This window comes from Homo sapiens, chromosome 1, assembly GCF_000001405.40.
Source record: "Homo sapiens chromosome 1, GRCh38.p14 Primary Assembly".
In the NCBI taxonomy this organism is placed as follows: domain Eukaryota; kingdom Metazoa; phylum Chordata; class Mammalia; order Primates; family Hominidae; genus Homo; species Homo sapiens.
Genome location: NC_000001.11, coordinates 15,326,159 through 15,351,225, shown reverse-complemented (window position 1 = coordinate 15,351,225; position 25,067 = coordinate 15,326,159). Strand labels below are relative to the sequence as shown.

Here is a 25,067-nt window from a genome sequence, read left to right as displayed (position 1 = left end):
CTACAGGTGTGCACCACCAGGCCCAGCTAATTTTTGTATTTCTAGTAGAGATGGGGTTTCACCATGTTGGCCAGGCTGGTCTTGAACTCCCAACCTCAAGTGATCTGTCTGCCTTGGCCTCCCAAAGTGCTGAGATTACAGGCGTGAGCCATCGCACCCAGCAAGATGTGTTTATATGTTCATATCCAGGCTGGCACAGAGCCCAAGACACTGCCTGGCTGTAGCCTGAGCTTCAGGACCCCATCCCTGGCTCGTATGTATAAGGGAGGCTCTGGGGGCAGTGGTGACCATAGTTTGGATCCCACCCCTTAGCATGTCTGTGCTCCCTCTGCCTACCTGGACTCTGACCTCACTTCCCTCATGGGCTTGTTATTGTCCCACTGCCAAGGGCTTCACTTAAGGCTGTGCAGCCCCCACCCTGCTGTGCCCACTCAACTGCCCACCCCACCTGGACTCTGACCTCACCAGGGCAGGTGTATCCCAAGCCATGAATATACTGACTCCTCATGTTACACCTCTAGGGCGGTTCTGCCACCACACCCACATGGCAGATGAGGGCATGGAGAGGGCAAGGGGCATGCCCAGGGTCACACAGCCTGTTAGGGCAGAGCTGAGATTTGAGCCCAGAATGAACCCTTTAGCCCACCAAGCTCTGTGGTTCCTTCCCCACCTCTCCCACCTATTTCCTTCCACTGCGCCCTGGTGCCTCCCATCTTGGGCCAGCTTTGGTTTCATTCCTCACACAGTCTCCCCCGTCTACCTCCTGGCAAGCTCAGGTCCTGACCTTCACACCTGTGCCACTTTATCCAGTGGTCCTCTCTGGCCCCCAGGCTCCTTTTCCCTTCCAGTTCTCACTGGAATGTCACTTCCTGAGCGGTCCTGCCCTCGGGCACTCTCCAGCCTGCTTCTCAGCTTTGGTCTTGTGGCCCTGGAGCCGCCCCTGCTTCCGCAGGCTGTCTGTCTCCCCTGCGCTAGGATGGAAGCTCTGGCAGCCTGGCCCTGGTCTGTCTTGCTCACTGCGGTGTCTGTGGCACCCAGAACCGGGCCTGGCCCACGGTGGGTGGATGAATGAAACTGAAATCGGTGGGTGGATAAATGAATATTTATGGGCGGATGAATGAAACCGAATCGAACCGTTCACTGAGCCATCAGCTCTGTTTCTGGAAGTTCTGTGGGGGCTGGCACGTGTGTGTCTGTGCCACCTCTGTCCCCGAAGCCCAGCTCATGGAGATGCCATGTGGGTCCCTGAGTGACCTCCTCCTGGCCCCCCAGCTCTTACTTCCAGGGTGTGACCTGGGTGTCCAGGCTGACCTGAGGGCCTGCCTTTCATGCTGCTCGGGGCAGGTGTGTCTGGTGGGCCAGGTCCCTAGGTTGGTGGCATTGGGGTGGGTGGATGTGGATGTCTCCAGCTCTGACCCCTCCTTTCCTCCCTGGTGTCAGTCTGTCCTGGGGTGCCCATCTTCTCGTCCATTCCAGAAGGCACTGATCCCTGGGGCTTATCTGATGTGACAACCATACGTGCTTACTATGCACCTACCTGTGCCATCTCTCTTTGTGCTCTTTGTGCTTTTACTCCTCAGCCAGTCAAGGGAGGGCCTGCTCCGGAGTCCATGACACCAGGAGGCCGGGCCAGGAGCAGTGCTTTCTCCCTTGGCCATGCCAGGTGTGGCACACATGCCGCTCTACTGTGAGGATGATGCTCACTAAGCCCCTGACCCTGGCTGAAACTCAGGATTCTCTCCTGGGAGGATCCCTCTTTCCTAGGTAGCTGAACCAGAGAGCAGAAAAATCTTCCCGAGGGCCCTCTAGGATGCAGGGTGCAGTCCTATGTACTTGACACCTGAGAGCATCTAATCCGATGAGGCAGGGACTGTTAGCATTCCCATTTCACAGATGAGGAAACTGAGGGATGGGGAGGTGGCGATCTGCCGGAGGTCACACAGCCAGTAAACGGCAGATCTTGGCCACTTCAAAGGGAGGCATGGCTCTGATATCTGCCCGATTTCCCACTGTACTCTCCCAGGGATCTGGCTTTGTAGTTCCTTCCAGAGGATTCTTTCCTGCTGCTGCTCATACCTCCTTCTGTTGGGTTAAATGGTTCTCCAGATCCTGAACTTTTCTCTTTTCCGACTCCAAGGCTTCCTTTGCTTTTCTTTTTTCATGGGCTATGCTGCTCTCCAAAACCTGAAAATCAACGACCAGTGCTCTTGGTGGCCTGCACATTTAGGGGGGAAATTGCTAGTAATGATAATGATAATAATAATAATAATAGTAACAATAACAGCCAAAGTGTTGGGGCGGCTATTAAATACACCTGGGCCCCTGGCCAGCCCTTCAGTCTCACAGCAACTCTGTCAGAGAAGTGCTGAGAGTGGCCCATTTTACAGATGAGGAAACCGAGGAGCAGGAAGTCGGAGAGGGCCCAGAGCCACACCCTTTGTCAGTGGTGAGGCCAGGATCTGAAGCCTGCGCAGAGGAAAGCACTGAGCCTGAATAAAGAGCTCTCGACAGGGCACCCGGGAGCAGCGGGGGCAGCTTCCTATCACGAGGCCAGGCAGCCTCTCTGATCAAAAGAAGAGTCTCATTAATAATGGAATTTCCATTATTGAAATAAGTCTCTCCAACAGAATCCAGTTTCAAGAGAAGGGCAGTATGTTGGACTAATGAGCCACGATACACCAATTTCTAGAAGGGACAAGCAATGTTCTGGTAGGATGTAGGGAAGAAAGTGTGGCCAGTATTTAGTGGCCCTAATCAAGGAGTTTTGTCTGGGAAGTTACTTGCTGGTAAGCTATTCAACTAAACAGCTTAATGCAAATCACCAAAGGAAATACACTGCCAGCCTGTTTCCAGTCACCATGAGAAGGGCCACCTCTATTTTCTAACGGCTTGTCTTTCAAACACGAGGTTCACTGTCAGGCATTTAGAACTTGGAACATGGTTTCCATTATAACCACTGGTTAGGGCCCCAGATGAGCCTGTAAAAAGTGTTTAATCCAGAATATGGCTGAGATATTGTATACTTTGCAGTGAAAAGTAGTTGACAAAACTCTAACACTCTGCTGTCCCAACACCAGCCTTAAAGCAGAAGAAAAGTGACATCATAAGAATTTCACGTTTATTTGGATCCTTTGAAGTGGGTTTCAGGGTAGGACATTTTCCTGTGAATTGTAAAAGAGACTTTGAGGCACTTCCTAGGGACTTAGGGTTGGCTCTGCTGTGTCTGACTCTGCGTCTACACTCGCCAGGCCTTCCTCTGGGTGGCTTCTCTGCAGTCGGGACAGGTACTATTGGTAAGAGAGGCCTTGCCTGGCTCACACACAGGCCCTACATGCTCAGTTGCTGTGCTTCCAAGTTCACAACAGATAATGGGGATTAACTTTGAACATGACCTCAAGACCCAGATTATGACCTAGTGATTCTGTTGACCTTAAAAACCCTGATGATGTGGCGGAAGATCTAATGAAAAGAAAATCAGGCCGGGAGCGGTGGCTCACGCCTGTAATCCCAGCACTTTGGGAGGCCAAGGCAGGCAGATCACTTGAGGCCAGGAGTTCAAGAGCAGCCTGGCCAACGTGGTGAAACCCCGTCTGTACTAGAAATACAAAAAATTAGCCAGGCATGGTGGTGCACCTGTAGTCCCAGCTACTTGGGAGGCTGAGGCATGAGAATCGTTTGAACCCGGGAGGCAGAGGTTGCAGTGAACCAAGATCATGCCGCTGCACTCCAGCCTGGGAGACAGAAAAAAAGAAAATCAAATAGCCACTGGCAGTTGAATGGAGCCTGTGGCTGGGGCTGCTCTTTCAAATTCCCCCGATAGGAAGCCACAGAGAAGTTCTGTCAGAAGTAGGCTGACATTTTAACAGACGCGGGGTGACCCAACCACAGATCCTCTGCAATGAAGCTTGAATTTATCTCCTGAGCCCCGTGGCCTCAAAGTCTCTAAATTCAAGAATCTTCCCCAGGCTTTTGCTGTTGACATCTTGGGGCATTTGACTCAAGTAACTCTTTGGAGACCCTCCTCCTCATCCCCACCCCTGGAGAAATCACTTGGGGGCAAACCTCAGTGACGCTCTGTGAGAGGGCTGCAGGGCACACCTGTGCCAGAGACGCCAAGGGAGAACCGACATGTAAACGTCTCTCTGTCCTGGGTCAGATCAAATGGCACAGGCTTTGCCCAGAGGTCTTTTTGTTTCTCCTGCAGCAGTGGGTGGGCAAGGATTTTACTCAAGGAGTCAGTGTTGAAGAAAAACAAATGCCCAAACAGAAGAAGAGGCACAAGTGGCAGCAGAGACAGTAGTAACAGCTGCCGTTTACTCGGCAATCATTCCGCAGGCCAGGCCCTCCATTATACACTAGATCTGAGCCCACAGCCGCCCCTTCGAGAAGGGAGGCAGCGGTAGGTCTGCTGCAGCCAGGAAGTAGCCCAGCTCGGATTTGAACTTGTGTCTCATCTGGCTGCAAAGCCCGCACTCCTCTGTGCTGTGTCAGGATTGAGGAATTCATGAAAGCAGATGTGAAAAAGGATCAGGGATCTGAGGGTGACCACAAGCTAAACATGAATCCACAAATGTGACAGAGCTTTCCCAAAAGCTAGTTTGGATGCATTAACAGAAGTAGAATATCTTCAATGCGGGAGGGAGGAGTCCTCCCCTAGGCTACCGTGGCTGGAGAACAGTGGTTCTGGCCACCTCCCTTTAGGAAGAAAATGGGTGATGGGTGACAAACTCAATGCCTATGAAGCCCGGACAGATACCAAAAATGACGTGGGCTGTGTTTAATGCAACGGGGAGTGGTGAGGACTCTGGCAAACTGCTGCTACCCGGTAAGGCTTCTAGTCCATTTTTGCTAAGTAGAAACAAGGGCTAGATTTTCTGACTTTTCGGGAGAGGCTGGAAATCTGAACTTTTAAATAGATTTTATGAATTCAAAGTAAAATATTCCGGGGCCAAATATAACTTCCACAGGCCCTTTTTAGTCGCTGAGCTACCAGTCTGTGACTTCTGGAGAGCAGCACAGGCCACAGGAGGCAGCCAGGGCCAGGCTCTAGTCCTGTGAGGGACCTGAGGAACAAGGGCGCTTGGGCCCGGGGAGGAGCAGACACAGGGTGCGGGCGCCCCTGTTTTCACACATCTGAGTCATCATGTGGAAGAGGAAGTAGATGTATCTTGTGGGAGCGCAGGGGAGGGCGGAGGACTGATACTCCTCCGGGGCGTAAGAGTTTGACACAACTCAACCTAAAGGGAAAACTTTCTGTCGGCCTGAGGCATCCATGCTGGGACGGACTGTCCTGGGGTGGAGAACATTCCTTAGTGGTGGTGCTGAAGGCTGGAGGCTTTTAGGATGCTGGTGGAGGGTCCACGCAGCCCTGAGGTCCCATGACTCTGTCATTCTCCCGTTTCTGTGCTTTGGAACACAGAAGACGCCCATGTCACCATTCCTACTTGTCTCCCAAGCGCTCTCTCTCTCTGACTGTGTTTTACACTGTTTACAATTTTTTCCCAACTGGTTGTCAAGGCTACAACTCCAGGGTTCCCTCCTTGAGTCTCCCACGCTTCCCAAAGTAGCTGAGCCCACCCAAACGCAAACTCCACGAGGAAGGCTCCACCACGATCTCACCCCCATCATCGCCGCTCTGAACTTCCTTCCACATGGCCCTCAAGCCGACTGGGGCTCAGCCGACTCTATCTCCCCGAGCGTACCTCCTTCTGGCGGGCCAAGCGTTCCTCCAGCTCTTGGACTCTTGTCTGCTCTTCCTCTAATGCTTCCTTCACTCTGTTCTTCTCCTGGGTAATGCTTTTCGCCAAAGCCTGAGTCAACGATCATTGTTCAATAGACATGGTTACCATGGGAGGAAACTGGACTCTGCCAGGCACCGCACAGGTTTCCTCTTCCCTCCAGACTACACCTCCCTAGGGGACTGTGGACAGCACAGCCCTGGAGCTCAGAGCCGGCGGGCCCAGACCAGAGCCCCAGATCCACCCTTCCTAGCTGCAGTGGGGCTCGAGCTGACTCTGTCTCCCTGAGCCACATACCTTCTTCTGCTGGGCCAGGAGGCTCTCCAGTTCTTGCATTCTCTTCCGTTCTTCCTCTAAAGTCTCTTTCGCTCTGTTTCTCTCTTGAGTAATGTACTCCTCCAAAGCCTGGAAACCAATGACCATTGTTTAACAGACATGGTTACCATGGCAGGAATTTGGACGCTGCCAGGCACTGCATGTGCTACCTCTTCACTCCTCACCGCACTCCCCTGGGGAGGCTGTGGGCAGCAGAGCCTAGGAGCTCAGAGCATGTGCTCTGGAGTCAGGAGACCCAGGGTAGAGCCCCAGGTTGATCCTTTCCAGCTGTAAGGCACTGGGGAAGTGAAGCTACCAGAGCCTCAGTTTCCCTGCCTGTACAACGGAGACAGTAATAGTCTTCCTGTGTTGGGTTGATGTGAGGGGTGGATGCGACGATGAACACGAAATGCTTGGCACAGTGATAACCATGCTTCCCACCTTGCAGAGGAGGAAACAGGCTTACATTCAAGAATCCACCCAGTTTACTAGTAAATCACAAGAGGAGGGATTCTAACTCTGACCCATTTGATTCTGAAGCCTGTGTTCTAAACCAGAGGTTAGCAAACTATGGCTTACAGACCAAATCTGGTCTGTTTTTGTAAATAAAGTTTTATTGGAACACTGTGCTTGCTGTGTATTGTCTATGGCTGCTTTTGCAGAAGAGCAGAGAGCATATGACCTGCAAAACTGAAAATATTTACTATCTGGCTCTTTATGGGACAATTTGGCCAATCCCTGATCTAACCCATTGGTGTGTGCACAAACCAAGGGATTGTTGTCAACAACTGGCAATAAGAAAAGAATGTTAGATTGATAAAGGAACATAGAATTTTTTTTCCCTTTGAAACAAAGTCCTCAAACAAGTCAAGATTCATGAGATTAATGACCCTGGACACATGTATTTTCGGAAAGGGCAGGTGATGGGAGTCAGAAGGTCTAAGGAAGGCTCATTTAGTCAGGACACTTGGCACTGAAGTCCAAGAGGTAACTTTCCAAGGAGTCCCCAGGGTCAAGTCCATCAATCCGAGTATCAGAGGAAGGGCGACCTTCGAGTGTCACAGTCTGTCTGGCAGGGACCTGATGTTGCTTCCTCCCTCTGCAAGGAGGGTAGGGTGCACCGAGGTTTTCAGGTTTAAAAGAGGGGCTGACGCCAGCTCTTAAAACACTCTGCCAGGCCAGTGTCGCCAGGGTTGTCTAGGAAGACTAGGCAGGCGCCCAACGCAGTGTTTAACATGGTGGGGCTGAAATACCAAACCCTGACAAGGGAAAAAGTCCATCCAAAATTAAAAAGAGAAAATAAGGCATTTGGGATGCCGATGTTAAAAGGAGAAGGTAATCAGAGAAGAAAAAAGGAAGTCGGTGGAGAGTTCTGCGAAGATTTTGAAGATTTCTAGGTACTTTCTGGTTTTATTTTCTTCTCTATGGAACGGTGCTGGCTTTTTCCGTATCTAAATGCCCTTCAAAATGTGCCCATCTTGATTTATAGCTATCATTAATATTACCTTTATGCGGATTGCACATGATTTGGTCAGATGGCTCTTCTTTTTTAATCTTTTATTTCGCAAATGCAGAAAAGCAGAGAAAGAGGCAAAGAGAAGAAGGAGGAGGAGACTGATGTTTTGGGGTAACTGGACACACATGTGAGGATGGAGATGAAAGAGGGAGAGGTCTGGAGGGCAGGTGTGTGTGGTAGAGAAGGAGCTGGGGAAAGATGGAGAAGGGGGCAGGTCCAGTACTCTTCCGGGGAAGAGAGGAGATATCTGGGAAGAGTTGGGGTCCGGTGGATCTGGGGGGCTGCTGTCTTGAGGGGGCTGTGAGGAGGGGCAGCATGCACACGCTGCTCCACACCCACCCACAACAGTGGCTCGCAACCGTGGCTGCACTTTGCGACCACCCGGGAGTGCTTAGAAATCCCACAGCAGGGGCCACACCCTCACCCCACTAAGATCAGAATGTGGAGAGTCGGCGGGGAGAGGTGCAAGGCATTAGTAATTTTTAATCTCCTAAATGACAAAAGTCATAAAGACAGTGAAATTCATGGGAGGGGTCCCTGAATATCAAAAAGGGCCAACCCTCAGGTATGGTGGCTCATACCTGTAATCCCAGAACTTTTGGAGGCTGAGGTGGGAGGATCACTTGATGCCAGGAGTCTGAGACCAGCCTGGGCAACATAGAGAGAGACCTCATTTCTACAAAAAATAAAAATATTAGCTGGGTGTGGTGGTGTGTGCCTGTGGTCCCAGCTACTTGAGAGACTGAGGTGGGAGGGTCACTTGAGCCCAGGAGTTCAAGACCAGCCTGGGCAACATTGCAAGATCCCATCTCTACAAAAAAAAATAATAATTAGCTGGGTGTAGTGCCATATGCCTGTGGTCCCAGCTACTTGGGAGGCTGAGGTGGGAGGACCACTGCAGCCTGGGAGTTCGAGGCTGTGGTGAGCTATGGTCACACTATTGCACTCCAGCCTGGGCAACAGAGCAAGACCCCATCTTAAGAAAAAAAAGGGCCAACTCTAGGACAGTGATGAGAATCAGCTCATTAAATAATACAGTTTCCTGGCCCTCTCCAGATGTTCTGATTTAATGGGTCTGGAGGGTGGAGACCAAGATCTGCATTTTTAGCAAAGCATCTGGATGGTTCTTATCAGGAAACTTTGGGAAAACCTTCCTCTAAGCCTTCGCCCTAAGAAAATGTGGATCTGCAGACTGGTAGCGTCAGTACCATCTGGGAGCTTGTTGAAAATGTAGCGTCTCAGGCCTGCTGAGACAGAATCTGCATCTTAACCAGATCCCCAGACAATTCATGGGCACGTTCGAGTTTTAGAGATGCTGCTATCTTCTAACTGGCTTGATTTCTAGAAAAGTCAGTAGCAATTTTGACCATTTGTTTCCCCCGATATGTATAAAGAGAAAGCAAAAGACTGAAATTTGTCATCTGAAGTTGATCTTGCGCACATTTAGAAACAGTCTGTCAGCTACAAACCAGGACCTGCAGCGATGACTCAGATCTCATAAAGCCGACTGCAATACATACACAAACAAGGCACCGTTTCCTGAAATTTCAATCATGCTGCCTTTTCAAGTTGATTTTGCTGTGAGTTTTAGAATTCAAACTTCATGTTAAATCCTCCCCAATTATTCACCCTGTTTAATTAATTTAGTTTCATGGCACCAAACAGAGTAGCTGAGATTTCTCTGTCTAAGTACATGCCCTCAATTTCCCATAGAAAAGGCCATTTCATCAGTTTCCAGTAGTAAAGCAAATGGCAGGGACCACCTTACCGCCTTCTCTTCCGTCAGTTGCCTGATTTTGGCTTTGAGCTTCTCCTCTTGCTCTAGCCTCTCCTCGTTCAGCTTCTCCTTCTCTGCCAGATGCTCCCGCAGCTTTTCCTGCAGTAAAGACTGCTGAGTTTCCTGAGAACTGTTGAACTTGATCTGAAATGTGAGAAAAGTAAACCGATGCTGATGGGGGACAGGCCTAACTAAAGAGTCTTTCCCCATTTGTTTACCAATTGTTTACCTTTCTGGGTACAAAGGTTTACCCAAAAGTTTCTTAAAATCACAGAACACTACAGCATGCTGTGGTTAAGAATTCAGACTCTGGATCTAGAAAGAATCCCAGCTCTAGTTGTTTCTAGATGCTTCCTCATTTAGAAAATGAAGTTAATAACAGTATTGATCTTTTAGAGTTGTGAGGATTAAGTGAGATAATGATGGAAAGCTTTTAGCACAGTGCTGAGCACATAGTAGGTGTTCAGTAAGTGGTAGGTGGGTGTGAGGAAAAAAAGCAGTCATGTAGGAGCCAGGACGCTTGAACATTTGTCTTGATTCTTCACCCATTAGCTGTGTGACACTGAAATTGTCCTTATCTGAAAAATAAGGAGAAGGGACTAGACCAGGGGTTGACAAACTACAGCCCACAGGCCAAATCGGGCCCACTGCATACTTTTGTAAATAAGGTGGTGTTTTTGTTTTGTTTTGTTTTTTTTGAGATGGTGTCTTGCTCTGTCGCCCAGGCTGCAGTGCAGGGGCACAATCTTGGTTCCCCGCAACCTCTGCCTCCCGGGTTCAAGTGATTCTCCTGCCTCAGCCTCCTGAGTGGCTGAGATTACAGGTGCCCACCACCACACCTGGCTAATTTTGGTATTTTTAGTAGAGATGGGGTTTTACCATGTTGGCCAGGCTGGTCTCGAACTCCTGACCTCAGGTGATCCACCCGCCTCAGCCTCCCAAAGCGCTGGGATTACAGGCATGAGCCACCGTGCCCGCCGTAAATAAAGTTTTATTGGAACAGTGCCATGCTTATCATGTCCATTGCTTACATATTGTCTATGGCTACTTTCATTTTACCATAGCAGAGTGGAAGAGGTATGAATATGGTCTGCAAAGCATAAAATATTTACCATCTGGCCCTTTACAGAGAAAGTTGCCAATCCCTGGACTCAAGCCTCTGTGGCTGATTGGCATGGTGGTCCCTTCTTTACCCCACTCTATCCATGTCTAGGGCTATGTAACTTGCAGTGCCCGCCCATATTTTGCCTCCAGACACTGAACTCAGCCATGTGACTTGTTCTGGCCAATGGGATCTTAGCAGACATAACACAAGCAGAAGGTTGAAAAACACTATGTGATTGGGCCACTTTCTTTTATACCTCGTAGTCTCCATGAGAACAGCCTAGGCTTGCTTGCTGGGGGATGAGAGACACAGGGAGCTGAGTCACTCCAGCTGAGGCCAGTCTAGATCAACCAAAGGCCAGCTAACACCCAGACAAGTGGGTGGGCCCATCCAAGGTCAGCAGAGCCGCCTTGCCACTGACCCCAGACACGTGAGGAGTAAATAGCAATTGCTGAATGCCGCTGAAGTTTTGTGGTTGTTTATTATATAATACTATTATGGCAATAGCTATCAGAATGATATAACCCGTAAAGCTCATTTGCCTCTAGAATATTTCTTTTCTTTTAGTAATTCTGCTGCCTGTGCTATAGATAGCTGTACTTTGTCCACTGGATTTAGTAAACACAGTTTTCAAAATCTGATGGCATTAAGGCTGGTGCAGTGGCTCACGCCTGTAATCCCAGCACTTTGGGAAGCTGAGGTGGGTGGATCACTTGAGGTCAGGAGTTCAAGACCAGCCTGGCCAACATAATGAAACCCTGTCTCTACTAAAAATACAAAAATTAGCAACACATGGTGGCAGGCGCCTGTAATCCCAGCTACTCAGAAAGCTGAAGCAGGAGAATCACTTGAACCCGGGAGGCAGAGGTTGCAATGAGCCGAGATTGCACCACTGTACTCCAGTCTGGGCAACAGAGCGAGACTCAAAAAAAAAAAATCTGATGGCATTAAGTCTTCTGGGCCTTTGACAGAGGAAAACAAACAGTGTGGTTGGCCCAGGAGGCCAGAGGGCAGCACCCTGTCATTGTCCTTACCCTCCTGGGAGATCTTAGCCAACCTTTTCTGTACCTCTTTGTGTGCAAATGAAGAAATCATTTCACCTATTGGAGGGTGTGGACTGGACTAGCTGATAAAGAAAAAACAGGTTTCAAATGCACAGTGCTATATAAATGCCAACCAGGGGCCGAAATGAACTTTGGAAAAAAAGAAATTAAAAGAATTACCTGAAGTTCCTGGGCCTGGCTCATAAGTTTTTTATAATGTTCCAGAAGATATATCAGATACAAAGAGAACCCTTAAAAAAAGAGAAGCAGGAAGAATGTAAGTATCAATTCAACTCCAAAGCTTGCAGACAGGTGGATGAAAGCAACGTTGCCATCCCATCAAAACAACGTGAGCTGCCATCCAACCTGTGGTTTTAAAGTAGTTGATAAGCAGCCGGGCACGGTGGCTTAGGCTGGGCATGGAGGTTCACACCTGTAACCCCAGCACTTTGGGAGGCTGAGATGGGCAGATCACCTGAGGTCAGGAGCTCGAGACTAGCCTGGCTGGCCAGCGTGATAAAACCCCATCTCCACTAAAAATACAAAAACTAGCTGGGTGTGGTGGCGCATGTTTGTAATTCCAGCTACTTGGGAGGCTGAGGCATGAGAATCGCTTGAAACTGGAAGGCAGAGGTTGCAGTGAGCCCAGATTGTGCCACTGCATTCCCGCTCAGGTGACAGAGCGAGACTCAGTCTCAAAAAAATAAAAATAAAAATAAAGTAGTTGATAAGCCTTGGTTGAGCTCACATCCAACTTTCTTTTTGGAGGTGGAAAACAACCCATCAACAGAACACCTATTTACTGTCTACTGTGTGTGAAGCATGGTGCTGAGTGTGGGGGATGGTCTAAAGCCAAGACCTCCAGGGGCTTACAGTTCAGTCCGAAAGACAAGGTGTAAATGCCTGCTGGAAACATGCAGTGACCCCAGGTGGCATGTGAGTGACTGCTGAAGGAGAGGGGAGGGTGAGGGTGTCAGAGGAGGGGGAGATCATTCACCTGGAGTGAGCGAGTAAGACCACTTGGTTGAAGAACTACTGGGTGTGGATGCTGTTGGGTGGGCAGAATTCAGAGAGCCGGGGGAGGGCGCTTCAGAACAGGGGTGCGCGGGGCTGAATGATGACCCCCTACGATTCCAGGTCCGAATCCCTGGAACCTGTGGGTGTGACCGTACAGGGCAAAAAGAGCTTGGCAAATACGATTAAGTTAAGGATTTCGAGATGGGGTGTTATCCTGGATTATCTGGGTGGACCCAATGTCATCACATGGCTTCTTATAAGGAGACAGACGGAGGCTTGACCACAGACAGAGGGGAAGGTGATGTGATGGAAGCAGAGACTGGAAGATGCCACATCGCTGGCTTTGAAGATGGAGGAAGGGGCCATGAGCCAAGGAATGCAAGGAATGAAGCTCTAGAGGCTGAAGAAGGCCAGGAAACGGATACTGCTCTAGAGCCTCCGGAAGGAACTTTAGCCCAGTGAAACTGAATTAATCCTGAATGCTAAGAGAATAATGTGTTGTTTTAAGCCAGTCTCTTGTGGTCATTTGTTACAATAGTCACAGGAAGCCACAGTTTCACACCGGGATGTGGGGGTGGTGGGGGTGGGATTTGGAAAAGGCAGTGCTCCTCCCGGGAAGTGCTGAGCTTACTTGGGCTGGAGTAGATGATGGGAGAGGGAGGAGCAGACAGTGGAGGAGGCATGGAAGGGTGAGGTCAAGCCGTGACACTCCTGAAACCGTCGGCTTGAGAGAGGAAACTTGATTTAAACATGACTGAAATGTGCCCAGTGGGTCCCCAATTTATAGATGAGGCAGTGGCGTTCTGAGACGCAGGCCTGCCCAACGCCACACAGCAGGCCAGTGGTTGAGCCAAGACTAATTGGTGTGACTCGAGGTCTGAGTCACTCCTATTCCAGCGGCTGACAGAACAGTGAAGTGGCCTGATGAAGAGCGTTGTTTTTTTTTTTAAAGAAAAATAGCTGGGCTGCATTCGAGAGGCTGGAGCTGGCAGGGTTTCTTTGCTGGAGCACTGCTGCTATGTCGGGCCGTATTGCTGGTATTGCACTGCTGATATTGTCAAGTCTTTGCTGTTGGGGCTGTCTTAGGCATTGTGGGATGGTTAGTAGCATTCCTGGTCTCTACCCACTGGATGCCAGGGGCACCCCTACTCACCCCACCCCAGTTTTGACAACCAAAAATGTCGCCAGACGATCCTGGATGTTGCCTGTGATAAGCTCCCCTCCTCTGAGTGAGAGGCAGGGAGCTCCGCTAAGGGCCCGAGAGACGCCCAGGTATTCAGTGCTGATCCTCTAACTGAGGGTGGGAGAAGTGAGGATGAGAGGGAAGAAAGGGAAAGCCTTTTAAAGGGGTAGAATGGTGGCCTCGTCATCAGACGGGAGAGAGACAGGTTGGGGTTGCGGTGGGGTGTGGCAGGGAGAGAGAAGGAGCCCCCAGGCTGTTTCAGACATGCTGAATTTGAGGCACTGGCAGGACTCTGGGGAGGGAGGGTCAGCAGAGAGCCGGACATGCCAATCGGTAATGCCGGCCCAGCCCAGCCCATCCAGGGTCCTTGTGTGAATGAAGAAAGAGGCCCCCTTCCTCCTGGTGGCCATGGCCCCTGGCCAGGGACCCCACCTACTGCCTTGGCTGGACTCCCTGCACCACTTTCCTGGCAGCCCCTCCTGCAGAGGCGTCCGTGTGGAAAACACATAGGAGTGGCTGGGGAAGCCCGGAAGTGCAGAGTTTCTTCATGAGAAAGGAGATGGGGTGGACCAAGGGCTGACTGCACAGGAGAAAACACCCTCGTTAGGGATAGGAGTTGGTGAAGGGGGCTGCTGGGAATGAATGGAAAAGATCAGGAGGGAAGCAGAGCGCCTAAAGGGTTTCAAAAAAGAGAATGAAGAGCGTTGGGCAGGTCAGAGACACAGTCCCCGAGAGGGTGGTGGCCTAGTCAGTGCTGCAGGGGGCCCGTGTCAGTTACTTGGCAGAAAGGCCAAGAAGCTGGCAATGAAGACCGAGGGTGCAACACGCTTCTTAAAGATCACAGGTGAAGACAGGAGTAAGAGCAATTGAAAAGGAGCGAAAGAAGCGATGGATTCCAGAGAAGAATGATTTTTTTCAGGATGGTACAGCCATCTTGAAGTGCCCCTTTGATGGCAAAGGGAAGGAACTAAGAGGAAAAGAAAGGCCGCTGACGCCAAAGAAAGAAGAATTTGTGCACAAGGTCCCTGGGAAGGAGAGGAAAGGGGAGACAGGGCAGGGTACGTGCTGCATGTAGGAGGAAGACCTAGTGGGGATAATGGAGGGAAGGAATAAAAGGTGGGCCAAGAGAGAAAAAGGAAGTGAGGAGAACATGTTCTTGTGTGGGGCAATGCACCATTCGGAGGATTTCCAGCACAGAAGCGTGAGAACAGCAATATTATAATAATAGCAGACCTGGTGCGTGCCAGTGCTATGCCAAGAGTTTGATACGTTTTTCTAATCATTATAAACAACCTGGTAAGGAAGTATGTTCATATTTATAGGTGAAACGACAGAAGCTCCCCAAGGTTAAGCTACAGAGCTGGTAAGTGTTAGAATCAGAATTCAGACCTAGATCTGTCAATCTCTTTTCAAAGGGTTTGGAGGCTTGAGAGTACAGGGTTGGGTTGGTGCGTTGGAGAGGTGCATTGCAAGGATACCAAGATGGCGGAGGAGGTGAGATGGCCGGGCTGACATTGGCTTGGCCCACTGGACCTGGTGAATACAGGGATTTGTGGAGGCTCTGTTGGGATGAGTCTGGGATTTTGCTCGGCTGCAACGTGTGACCCAGGAATCAAAGGGGAAGGATGAAATCATGGTTGGGATCTGAGGAGGACTAAGGGGAGAGGTAGCTGAGGATGCTGAAGGGGAGGCCAGTATTTGATCACATTTCTATTTCTAGATTAGATGACTAACTGTAATCATAATGGGGATTTTGCTCTTTGGGGGAAGGAACAAGTCTTTCTTATACTTCTGTTTACAAAAGTTATAAATGTTGGTTATAAAAACCCAAATGTTACAGAAATTCATAATGTGGGAAGTGTTTGCCACTGCGTCTTCATGTTCTGCACAGTGGCTGGCACACAGGGGCCCTCAATGAACAGTTGTTGAACAACTGAATGGAAGTCAAGGTCCAGTGCAATCCCACCCTGCTGGGATAATACTCCTAACAGTTTGATGTCTTTTTCTCAAGGTTGTTCTTTTGCTCAGATACTGACATTTAAAAAAAAAAAAAGCACACCAAGCATATTGTATTGCAACTTGCTTTCTTTTCAGTTAAAGACACAGTGTATCTTGGATAGTTGAGTGATTTGCCATGCATGCAAGAAGAGTCTTTTATTTGTAACAAAGTCTTGCAGAAATAGACACAAACGACGGAGCTTGCAGAGAAAAATGTAAAAAATCCTTTCCTTCCCTTATCAGAGGAACCCTGAGAAACCAGGCAGGAGGAGTATTCAGCTGACTTTCAAGGTGCCGCCTAAACATTCTTATCCTCCCAGCTGAACCACACAGCAAATCCTCCACCCTTCCGAACACACTGGACCCCAGCAGGCCTCACCTTGTGGGCTGCACGTGACATCTCCCAACAACACCACAAGTCATTTCCCTGACGTTTACCCCGCCTGGATTCCCCTGGGGGATTCGTTTCAGGATTTCCATCCTAGTTTGTGACGCGTGTTTTATCTCTTAGGAGGATGTTCTAAAAGGCAGGTAGCCTGGTGGTCAAGAGCAGGGAGTTTGAGGTTGGAGGGGCGTGGACTGAGTTGCAGCTTGGCCACTTGGCAGCCGGGACCCGAGGCCCACTGTCAGATTCTAAGGAGGAGGCCTCTAGAAAGGGCTCTTGGCTTCAACCCAACTGAGGGCTTAGGGCTAAAGAAACCCCATTTGCTGCTAAATGGAGACAGGGCAGAGGCTCCAGAGGATGTTACCTGGGTGCAAGTAAACCAGGCTATGCGGTCCACATGCCTACCTGCCTGGTGGCTACCCATGTTTAGGTCAGATGAAGTCAACCAGTATTTGAGGCTGACGATGACAGCAGCCCCCACCGATTACGAGCTAACTGTGACCAGCACTGCCATGCATGTATCCCATCACTCAGTCCTCATATGCCGCTAGGAGACTGGATGGCCATTTCACGAGCAAGTAAATGGAGGCGCAGCCACGTCACGTAACTGCCCACACAGCTAGTAGGTGCACAGCTGAAATTCAAGCCTTGGCAGTGGTACCCAGAGTCCCAGCTTGGAACATCACTGTGATACAAATGGGGCTTTCTGTGGTTATGGCTCAGGGTAGGAATCAGATGCGGTTTAGCTTAGGGAAAGACAACTCTTAGCTCTGTCACTGCCTGAGCCGATGACAGCACCCATTCTCTAGGGACTGGGCATGTGCCTGGTACATTGCTGCATTGTCAGAGGAAGTGTGTATGTGTGCAGGGGGTGGGGGTGAAGGGGCAGGGGGTCATAGGGAAGACACAGGTGTTAGGGTCACAAAGACCTCAGTTTGAGTCTTAACCCTAATGTACCAGCTGTGTGACTCTGGGCAACTTTTTAACGTTACTGTGTCTCAGTTTCTTTACTTTTCAAATGAAGGCTGGGCGCAGTGGCTCACGCTGGTAATACCAGCACTTTGGGAGTTGAGTGGGTTGATTGAGCCCAGGAATTTGAGACCAGTTTGGGCAACATGACGAAACCGCGTCTCTACAAAAAACACAAAAATTAGGTGGCGTGGTGGCACACGCCTGTAGTCCCAGCTACTTGGGAGGCTGAGGTGGAAGGATCGCTTGAGCCTGGGAGATGGAGATTGCAATGAGCTGAAATCATGCCACTGCACTCCAGTCTGGGCAACAACGCAAGACTTTTACTCAAAAAAAAAAAAAAAAAAAAAAAAAAGATAAATAAAATAAAGATGGTAATCATACCTGCCTCACTGGGTAGGTGGGAGGATAAAAGTACACAATGCGTGTGAAACACCGAACACAGTGCTAAATCCCCAGGAGGAGCTAAACAACCCATGCTTTCTACCCTTCTCTTAGGAGCTAGAAACGCAGGCAGCTCCTGGGAGTGTGCAGGATGGCGATGAATAGACTGGGGACTCCCTGTCAGCCTCTGTAACATGAAGTGCCTCAAATCACCTTATCCTGGTGGAGTAATGAGAAAACCAGCTTTGAGCCAGTTTCCTCATTTCTAAAATGAGGAAAATGGGCAAATTATTAACTCATAGAATTACTGTGAGGATGAAATGAGATCATGTGTATAAAATGCTGAGAACCGTATCTAGAATATAAGTCCTCAGTGATGAATGACTATCATCGTCACCATAATCACCATCATCACCATCATCATCGCCCTCCTCCTTCCTCCTCTTCCCTCCTCCTCCCCATCCTTCCTCCTCATCTTCCTCTTCCCGCTCCTCCTTCTGGATTAGCTCTGGGCTAGGAATTAGGTACAAGAGTAGAGAATATGGGGCATACGCTAGCTTACCCTTTTCTTTTAGTCTTTTGGGCGCTTGACGTAATATTGCTTGTATTAGAAGAGAAAATGCCTTTTACCATCAACTTCCTCTTCTGCTGAGTGGACAAAAGATGGGCCCTGCTTACTGAACTTTCTGTTATTCTCTATTCTTTTTTTCCTGAGTTCTTAGAACCAACTAGTTGTAATCACAGAATATGTAGCCAGCAGACCACCGTTTCCCCAATGACTGTTCCATGGAACATTATTCCAAGAGGTTAGTTGGGGGCGGGGCAAGGGCATCAAGAAAGGAGACCAGTAGTTTGGAAATACTGTTTTCTTTATCCCCTTCTTGTTGACCCAGGGTGCGTGTTAACAAGGGAGGGATTCTGCAGAAACCTGCTTAATGTTGTTCAAATCTCACGACTCCATGAAGTCAGGAGAAGAAAATGGCTGGTCTGAGGAATGCTTGCCTAAAATCAGTCTTTCTTAGCCCTGCTGGAATTACTGGCCTGAAAGCTTAACTTTACAATCCGTGTTTATTTATTTTTAGACAAGGTCTCACTATCACACAGGCTGCAGTGCAGTGGAGTAATCATAGCTCACTGCAGCCTTGAAATCTTAGCCTCAAGGGATTCTCCTGGCTCAGCCTCATGAGTAGCTGGGACTACAGGCCTGTGCCACCATGCCTGGCTAATTTATTATTATTTTTTAAATTTTTTGGAGATGAGGGGTTTCACGATGTTGCCCAGGTTGGTCTTGAACTTCAAGCCTTAAATGATCCTCCTGCCTCAGCCTCTTATGTTGATGGGATCACAGGCATGAGCCACTACACCTGGCAACAACCCACATTTCTTAACAATAATATATGACTAGATTTATAGACTTAGTCTAGATGACTAAAATGGTCTTGGGAGTGGGAAGGGGACAGTGCACACGTAGCTTGGCTCTATTATTGCCAGGATGGAGATCATGGTCTTTGTTTTAGTTCCAGTCTTGAAGAACAACGAGAACTCTGCTCCATGTTTTACCTTATTTCAAGTAAGCTCACGACTCTGCCTTGATTGCAAGAACAGTAACGCTCTCTGCTATATGATGAGGGGAAGGTTCCTACATAAAAATTAATGTTGGTTTTGCTTTTGCTTTTTAAGAATGTTACCCCACCTTCTGGATACTTTGGAAGCATCCTGCTGCAGATGTTGAAGTGCCAGGGTTGAAAATCACTTCTCTATTCTTATTCATTGTGGAAAGAATATAAAATTGATGCAGGCTCTCTGGAGGGTGATTTGGCAAGAAGGAGTAGCAACAAGCTTCAAAATGTTGGAGTTCCTTAAGGTGCGGCCCTGTGCTCTTTCCCTTCTCTCTCGTTACTTTCATGTAGGTCATGAGCTTACATGACATCAGGCAAAACATGGAGCAAAGTTCTCTGGCTGTTCTTCAAGACTGAAGAATAAATAATCTTCCTAACTGATACCATTCATATCTATGGCTTTAATCTTCCTTCCTTCCTGCCTGCTTGCCTGCTTGCCTGCCTTCCTGCCTTCCCTCCTGCCTTCCTTCCTGCCTTCCCTCCTGCCTTCCTTCCTGCCTTCCCTCCTGCCTTCCCTCCTGCCTTCCTTCCTGCCTTCCTGTCTTCTATCCATCCATTCATCCACCCACAGACCCACCCACCCTTCTATCCACCCACCCTTCCTCCCATCCATCCACCCACCCACCCACACTTCCATCCATCCTTTCATCCATCCATCCATCCATCCATCCATCCATCCATCCATCCATCAATCCACCCACCCACCCACTCACCCTTCCATCCATTCTTTCTTCCACCCGTCCGTCCATCCATCCATCCACCCACCCACCAATGCTTCCATCCATCCTTTCTTCCATCCGTCCGTCCATCCATCCATCTGCACTTCCTTCCATCCATCCCTCCAACCCACAGATATGTATTAGGCCCCCGCTGTGTGGCACATGCTCTCTGGGTGCTGAGGATACATCATTATTACCTATCCCCAGACAAGACACCTGGGGAAACAGCTGTCTCTTGGGCATCTCATCTTAGATGTCTCACAGGCACCTCACACTCCTCTTCCCCCTCAAACCTGGGCCTCATCCTGCATTCCTTGCTCTGAGTTTTAGCAAAGAAATCACATCCGTCTTTTACACACACCAGAAACCTAGAGGTCTTGTTGACTCTCTGTCACTTTCCTTCCAACCATCCAGTCCTACCACTGAGGCCTGTTGATTTACCTCTTACTCGCCCCTGAATCTTCTTTCTCCATCCCCACCCTGCCCTAGGGTGGCCTTGTCATCTCTTACGGCAGCCCGCCAAGTGGCTCCTGGGGCACCATGCTGCCCACCCTCCAGGACGTTGTCCACTTGCCACCAAGATGATTGTCTCAGAATGCAAGCCTGTCCAGCTCCTTACTTAAGGCCTTTCACAGGCTTCTCTCTGCCCTTAGAATAAAGCTTCTTATCAGGGCCCTGCGAGACCCCACATGCATGGCCCTGGGAAGCTCCCATTTCTGTTAGCCCCTTGTGCTCTCCATGCTCCCCTGCCACCACGCTGCTCCTGTACTCAGAATGCTCTCTCCCCTTTCTTTGGCAACAACTCCGATGCATCCTGCAGATGCCCTGCTCTCCCTGACCAGATCGAACCCTGCACTTCATAGCAATTGTCACCACTCAACTTTCATGTTTGTTCGAGTGATTTTCCCATTAATGCCCACCTCATCCTTCCCCCTGAGACCATAAGCTCTTGGAGGGCCTGTTTTTTTCCCCAGTATTTTATTATAAAAAATTTCAAATGTATGGACATATTGGAAGAATTTTACAGTGAACCATATACCCATGACCTGATTCTACCTGTTCCTGACCCCGTTACGTCTCTGCCCTGCACAACATGTGGCCTCTGGTAAGCATGCATGCAATCACTATTTGTTGAAAGAAAGTGATTCATACCTCTCCACCTCTAGGAGAATAAAGATAATATGAGCAGGTATGTGTGCAACAATGTTCATCCCAGCATGATTTATGAGTGTGAAAAACTGGAAATCACCTAAGTGCCCATGATAGGGGATTGTCTAAAACAATGGCACATCCTACACAATGGAATCAGTAACTGCCGTCGGTAACAGCGATGATGTAGGTCTGTGTCTACTGACATGGATGACGTACCATTAGGAATAAACCAAAGAAAATCGAGGGTAACGTGACACTATTTTTTTGTCAAATTAAAAGTCAATAAACATTCAGTAATGCCTATTGTGTGCCAGGTACTATTCCAAGTACTTTCCATATATTCATGCATTTTAATGATCACAACAGCCCTAAAGGGTGGGTACTCCCTATTAGCCTCATTTTACAGATAGGGAAACTGAGGCATAGACAGGGTAAGTCACTTGCCTGGAATCACGCGGTTATTTCCATGGGAAAATGCCTTGGAGGTTAAACAGCGTAATTAGACTTTGCATAATTTCGATTTAATTTTCCTTTTGCCTCTGTTTTGTTTCATTTTTCTTCAGTTATCGTGTCTCACTTGTATGTGTGTGTTTTTTTTTTTAATGGAAAATTACGCCTCAAGCAGAGAAGCAGGGGGTTCTGGAGAAGGGAATAGACTTGGCCAGATACCCAGGAAGACTTCCTCAACAGATGTCCCATCATGCTGAGATTCAACGCGACATTTTAGAGTCATGCAACCATGTGAGAAAAAAAGTCCCAGTAACCTTTGTTGGGGCTGGAGGGCAGGATCCCGAGGTCCCGGAGGAGCTGCTCCACCTCCTCCAGCCAGGACAGCGCGTGCCTCAGGACGTCCAGCACCACCTTCTGGAGCCCCGAGACAGGTGGGCTCACCTGGAGGTGCTGAAGAAGGTCGACCTCCTTCTTCAGGTCATGGCTGCAACAGGATATTTTCATGCAAGCCTGCAAAGAGGTGAGATCATGAGGAGCCCAGGCCCTGTGGCCAGAAATAGCCCCTGACGTGACCTTCGAGGAACAGCGTTCTTGACTCTGCCACGAAGCAGGCAGCGCCACGTATTGGCCGCCTTGGGAGGACTCAGTTTTTTTCTTTTTTAAAATTTTTATGTTTTGACAGGTTTTTTTTTAATACTCTAATTTGGACTTTTGATGGTCAAAGCGAACCCCCTTTTAGGTCTATGAAACCCCAGAGCCAAAGTACCATCAACAGTTTGGCTGCAATGAGAAGCAAATGTGGCTACTTCTTTTTTCCATTCGTCAGAATTCCTGCCAAGATCAACACACAAGCTGGTCGGAAAGCGTGGTTTCCTGATTTGAAAGAGTGCTGACAAGCCAGCATTTGCACAAACTCCCCAAACAGGAGCTGCTGATTTCCAGAGAAAGCAGAAGCCACCGCCTGCTCTGATAAGCCATGTCCCAGGGTGGGGGCCGCAGGGCTGTGGCCAAGTCCTCCCGTCCCTGCTCCTCCAGAGTCAAAAGCAACGGTGTGGAAACCGCCTTTTGTGGCTGGGCCAAAACAAGAAAATGCAAATAAAAAGCAGGAATGTTTCTTTGGTTTCTCTGGAAATAACATAGGGGCTATGAAAACAATTTCTTTTTGGCTGGGGATGCGGGCCGCTCAAAGTCAGTAATTGAAGATGCTCAGGCATCTTTTTTGGACACGCCAAGTTCTCCCGGGAGGCATTTTTTTAGGCCCTTTGTTTTTTCTTCTCCAACAAGTTTCTCCAACAAGAGGAAAAAGTGGATAGAAAAGCCAAGCATTTCTGCCCAACTTGCTCCAAAAAAGCTGGGCAATTTCCCAAATAAGCCGCACAAAAATTAGACAAAGAGACCATTTGTGGAAAGCGTAAGGAGGGGCCACCTGGCAGCTGTCCAGCGACGTCCTCAGCTTCTCGATGTTCTCGGTGGTCTCCTCCTGCTTGGAGTTGCTCAGCTGGGTCTCTTTCTGGAGGGTCCACTTTTTCTGCTGAAAATTGATGTTGTCCTCAGTGACCTGGGTAATTTTCTCTATTAACTGGTGAGAAAAAGAAAAAGGAAAAAAAAAAAAAAGATGTAACATACAGGGGTGGGGGGCCCTGAGGGAAGGGGAATGGGAGAGGGGAGAGATGCAACTTAAGTCCCTGTCTAAGCACGGGAGGACAGAGGTCCTGATATGTCTTGGTGATGGCTGTCAAGGGGGACGTTGGTCCTGTCACCAGGGAATGAGTCCCAGAATCAGAGATTCTCTTTTCTTTTTTCTTTTCTTTTTTTTTTTTTTGCGACGGAGTTTCACTCTTGTTGCCCAGGCTGGAGTGCAATGGTTTGATCTCGGCTCACCGCAACCTCCGCCTCCTGGGTTCAAGCGATTCTCCTGCCTCAGCCTCTGAAGTAGCTGAGATTACAGGCACGCGCCACCATGCCCGGCTAATTTTGTATTTTTAATAGAGATGGGGTTTTACCATGTTGGTCAGGCTGGTTTCGAACTCCCGACCTGAGGTGATCCACCCGCCTCGGCCTCTCAAAGTGCTGGCATTACAGGCATGAGCCACCACTCCTTGCCGATCAGAGATTATTTTTATGATCCAAAGGCCTGTCTTGTGGCCCTGAGTTTGTTCCAGATTCTTCTGTGTTGTATAGGGATTCAGAACACTGAGCCTGATATTATGGGCTCATAAGCAGCAGGTCAGGTTCTCCCACACCCACTGAGAGCAGCCCACGGCACATTTTCCCATCTGTGCTTTGACACAGGGGGCTAGAAAGTGTAGTGGAAGAACAGCAAGGCAATCATTACAGCCAGACATCCACCCTCACTGCCACTGTCAACTTTTCTCCTCTGAAGGAACGCGCCAGAACGCACTGGCTGTGGGGAGGCGGCTCCCTTTCTCCCAGTGCTAATGGAGGCGAAACATGCATGTCTGGAGACCAGAAGTAAGCCCGAATGGTTTAATTTGATTTTCACAGACACATTTCAAGGGAGTTTTAACTGGCTTTTACTTTAAAAGCCAGGAAATCCCATAAAATCAAAACAAATCTTTATGGTGTAGCAACAGTGTGAAAAATATGCCACCAACAAAAACAGAAACATATGCTCCCAGGGTCTGGAATCCAGATCCACGAAGAAGAAGAAGAGGAAAGTGAAGGAGCCACGTGGCAGGGACGGCAGACTAACCTGTTGGTCGGTGACGGGCTTGTCCCGGAACGGCTTCGCCCGTCCATAGGTGGCCTTGATGACTTGACTTCTGAAGTGCTCCAGCTGCAGCAGAGAGGGGGCAACAGTGTCAGGGGGTCAGCAGGGGCCGGCAAGTGGGGGCAGCGTTTCCATGGCAGGGTGCGGGAAACACCACTTAGCAGGGTTTGCACGCCTGAATGACCATTCCGCGTTATCAGAATCTTCACCGCTCACGGGGAGTGGCGGGACCCACAGAAGAAAAGAGAACAGCAGGCTTTAATTACTTTTTAGGCACGCCTGCCTAACCCGAACGATGCCTGTGGTCAGTGCACACACATGTCTCAAACCCTCAGAAGAGCCTCTTGCTGCCAATTATCCAATGGGAAGTCTGGGGCCGGGAGCGCTCTTCCGTAATTGCTAAGTTGGCACCAGACTGTGAAATAAATATTGAGGCTGTCAGTCCAAGTAAATTGTGTAGTCAGCAAGGAAGCCCGGGGAGAGGAGAGTGTTCTCCCTTTCTCCATTTCATGCCTGAGCCCATAAGAGTCCTGAAGACTATGTCCACTCTGTTCATCTCGGTATCCCTGGAGCCTACTACGGTGCCTGGTGTAGAGGAGACACTCAGACACCCAACTAACCTTTGCTGGATGCCTGTACACAGAAACATCACCTTAAGCCAAGGGCCTCTACTTCTAGTGGCTTTCACTGAGCCCCTCCTGGGTGCTAGTGTTTTCAGGTTAAGGCTGATGAAATAGCAGTTACATTAAGTCCGGACTTACAGAATGACAAGTCCAAGGTGTCCTGATTCCATTAGTAGTTAGAGGTAAAAAGGAGCCCGACTTTCTCTGAGAATTTACCAACATGGCAGCCCCTGGCGTGAGTCTCCAGTTCACTGGCAAAACGTGGTTATTAAATACTCCAAAGCAGAGCCTTGAAGGGACCAAAAGGGCTACTGCCTCAACCTGGGGCCCAAGACACAGGTAT

At 49.2% G+C, this 25,067-nt stretch overlaps 1 protein-coding gene and 2 long non-coding RNA genes across 46 annotated transcripts in view, besides 1 other annotated feature; 2 read left to right on the top strand and 1 right to left on the bottom strand.

Annotated features, from left to right (window-relative positions):
• FHAD1 (forkhead associated phosphopeptide binding domain 1) overlaps positions 1 to 25,067 on the bottom strand; it is a 166,490-nt gene that overhangs the window by 51,785 nt on the left and 89,638 nt on the right. For 36 of the 43 annotated variants that reach the window (XM_047443734.1, XM_017000198.3, XM_017000199.3 and 33 more), the window contains 8 exons: positions 24,084 to 24,167; positions 22,797 to 22,949; positions 21,685 to 21,880; positions 11,675 to 11,745; positions 9,338 to 9,490; positions 6,036 to 6,143; positions 5,703 to 5,810; positions 2,077 to 2,184 (listed from right to left, as the gene is read on the bottom strand). In XM_047443734.1, the coding sequence (XP_047299690.1) occupies positions 2,077 to 2,184; positions 5,703 to 5,810; positions 6,036 to 6,143; positions 9,338 to 9,490; positions 11,675 to 11,745; positions 21,685 to 21,880; positions 22,797 to 22,949; positions 24,084 to 24,167 (981 nt within the window). Of the gene's footprint in view, positions 1 to 2,076; positions 2,185 to 3,101; positions 5,407 to 5,702; positions 5,811 to 6,035; positions 6,144 to 9,332; positions 9,491 to 11,674; positions 11,746 to 21,684; positions 21,881 to 22,796; positions 22,950 to 24,083; positions 24,168 to 25,067 lie in introns of those variants that run through there. The other 7 variants (XM_024452918.2, NM_052929.2, XM_047443790.1 and 4 more) reach the window with 4 other exon arrangements.
• Positions 5,234 to 5,433: an enhancer, noted in NCBI's record as "active region_234". NCBI's record gives its function as "activates an Ori minimal core promoter by ATAC-STARR-seq in GM12878 lymphoblastoid cells {active_cell/tissue: GM12878}" and the evidence as "EXISTENCE:reporter gene assay evidence [ECO:0000049][PMID:35858748]".
• Positions 7,343 to 24,546, top strand: FHAD1-AS1 (FHAD1 antisense RNA 1). Of its 2 annotated transcripts, none has more exons than NR_148919.1 (2): positions 7,343 to 7,450; positions 21,546 to 24,546. It is a non-coding gene; the product is annotated as an FHAD1 antisense RNA 1 (long non-coding RNA). The 2 variants fall into 2 exon arrangements; NR_148918.1 differs by having other exon boundaries at positions 21,543 to 24,546.
• Positions 10,300 to 16,702, top strand: LOC124903851 (uncharacterized). The gene is made up of 3 exons (XR_007065480.1): positions 10,300 to 10,846; positions 12,263 to 12,430; positions 12,773 to 16,702. It is a non-coding gene; the product is annotated as an uncharacterized LOC124903851 (long non-coding RNA).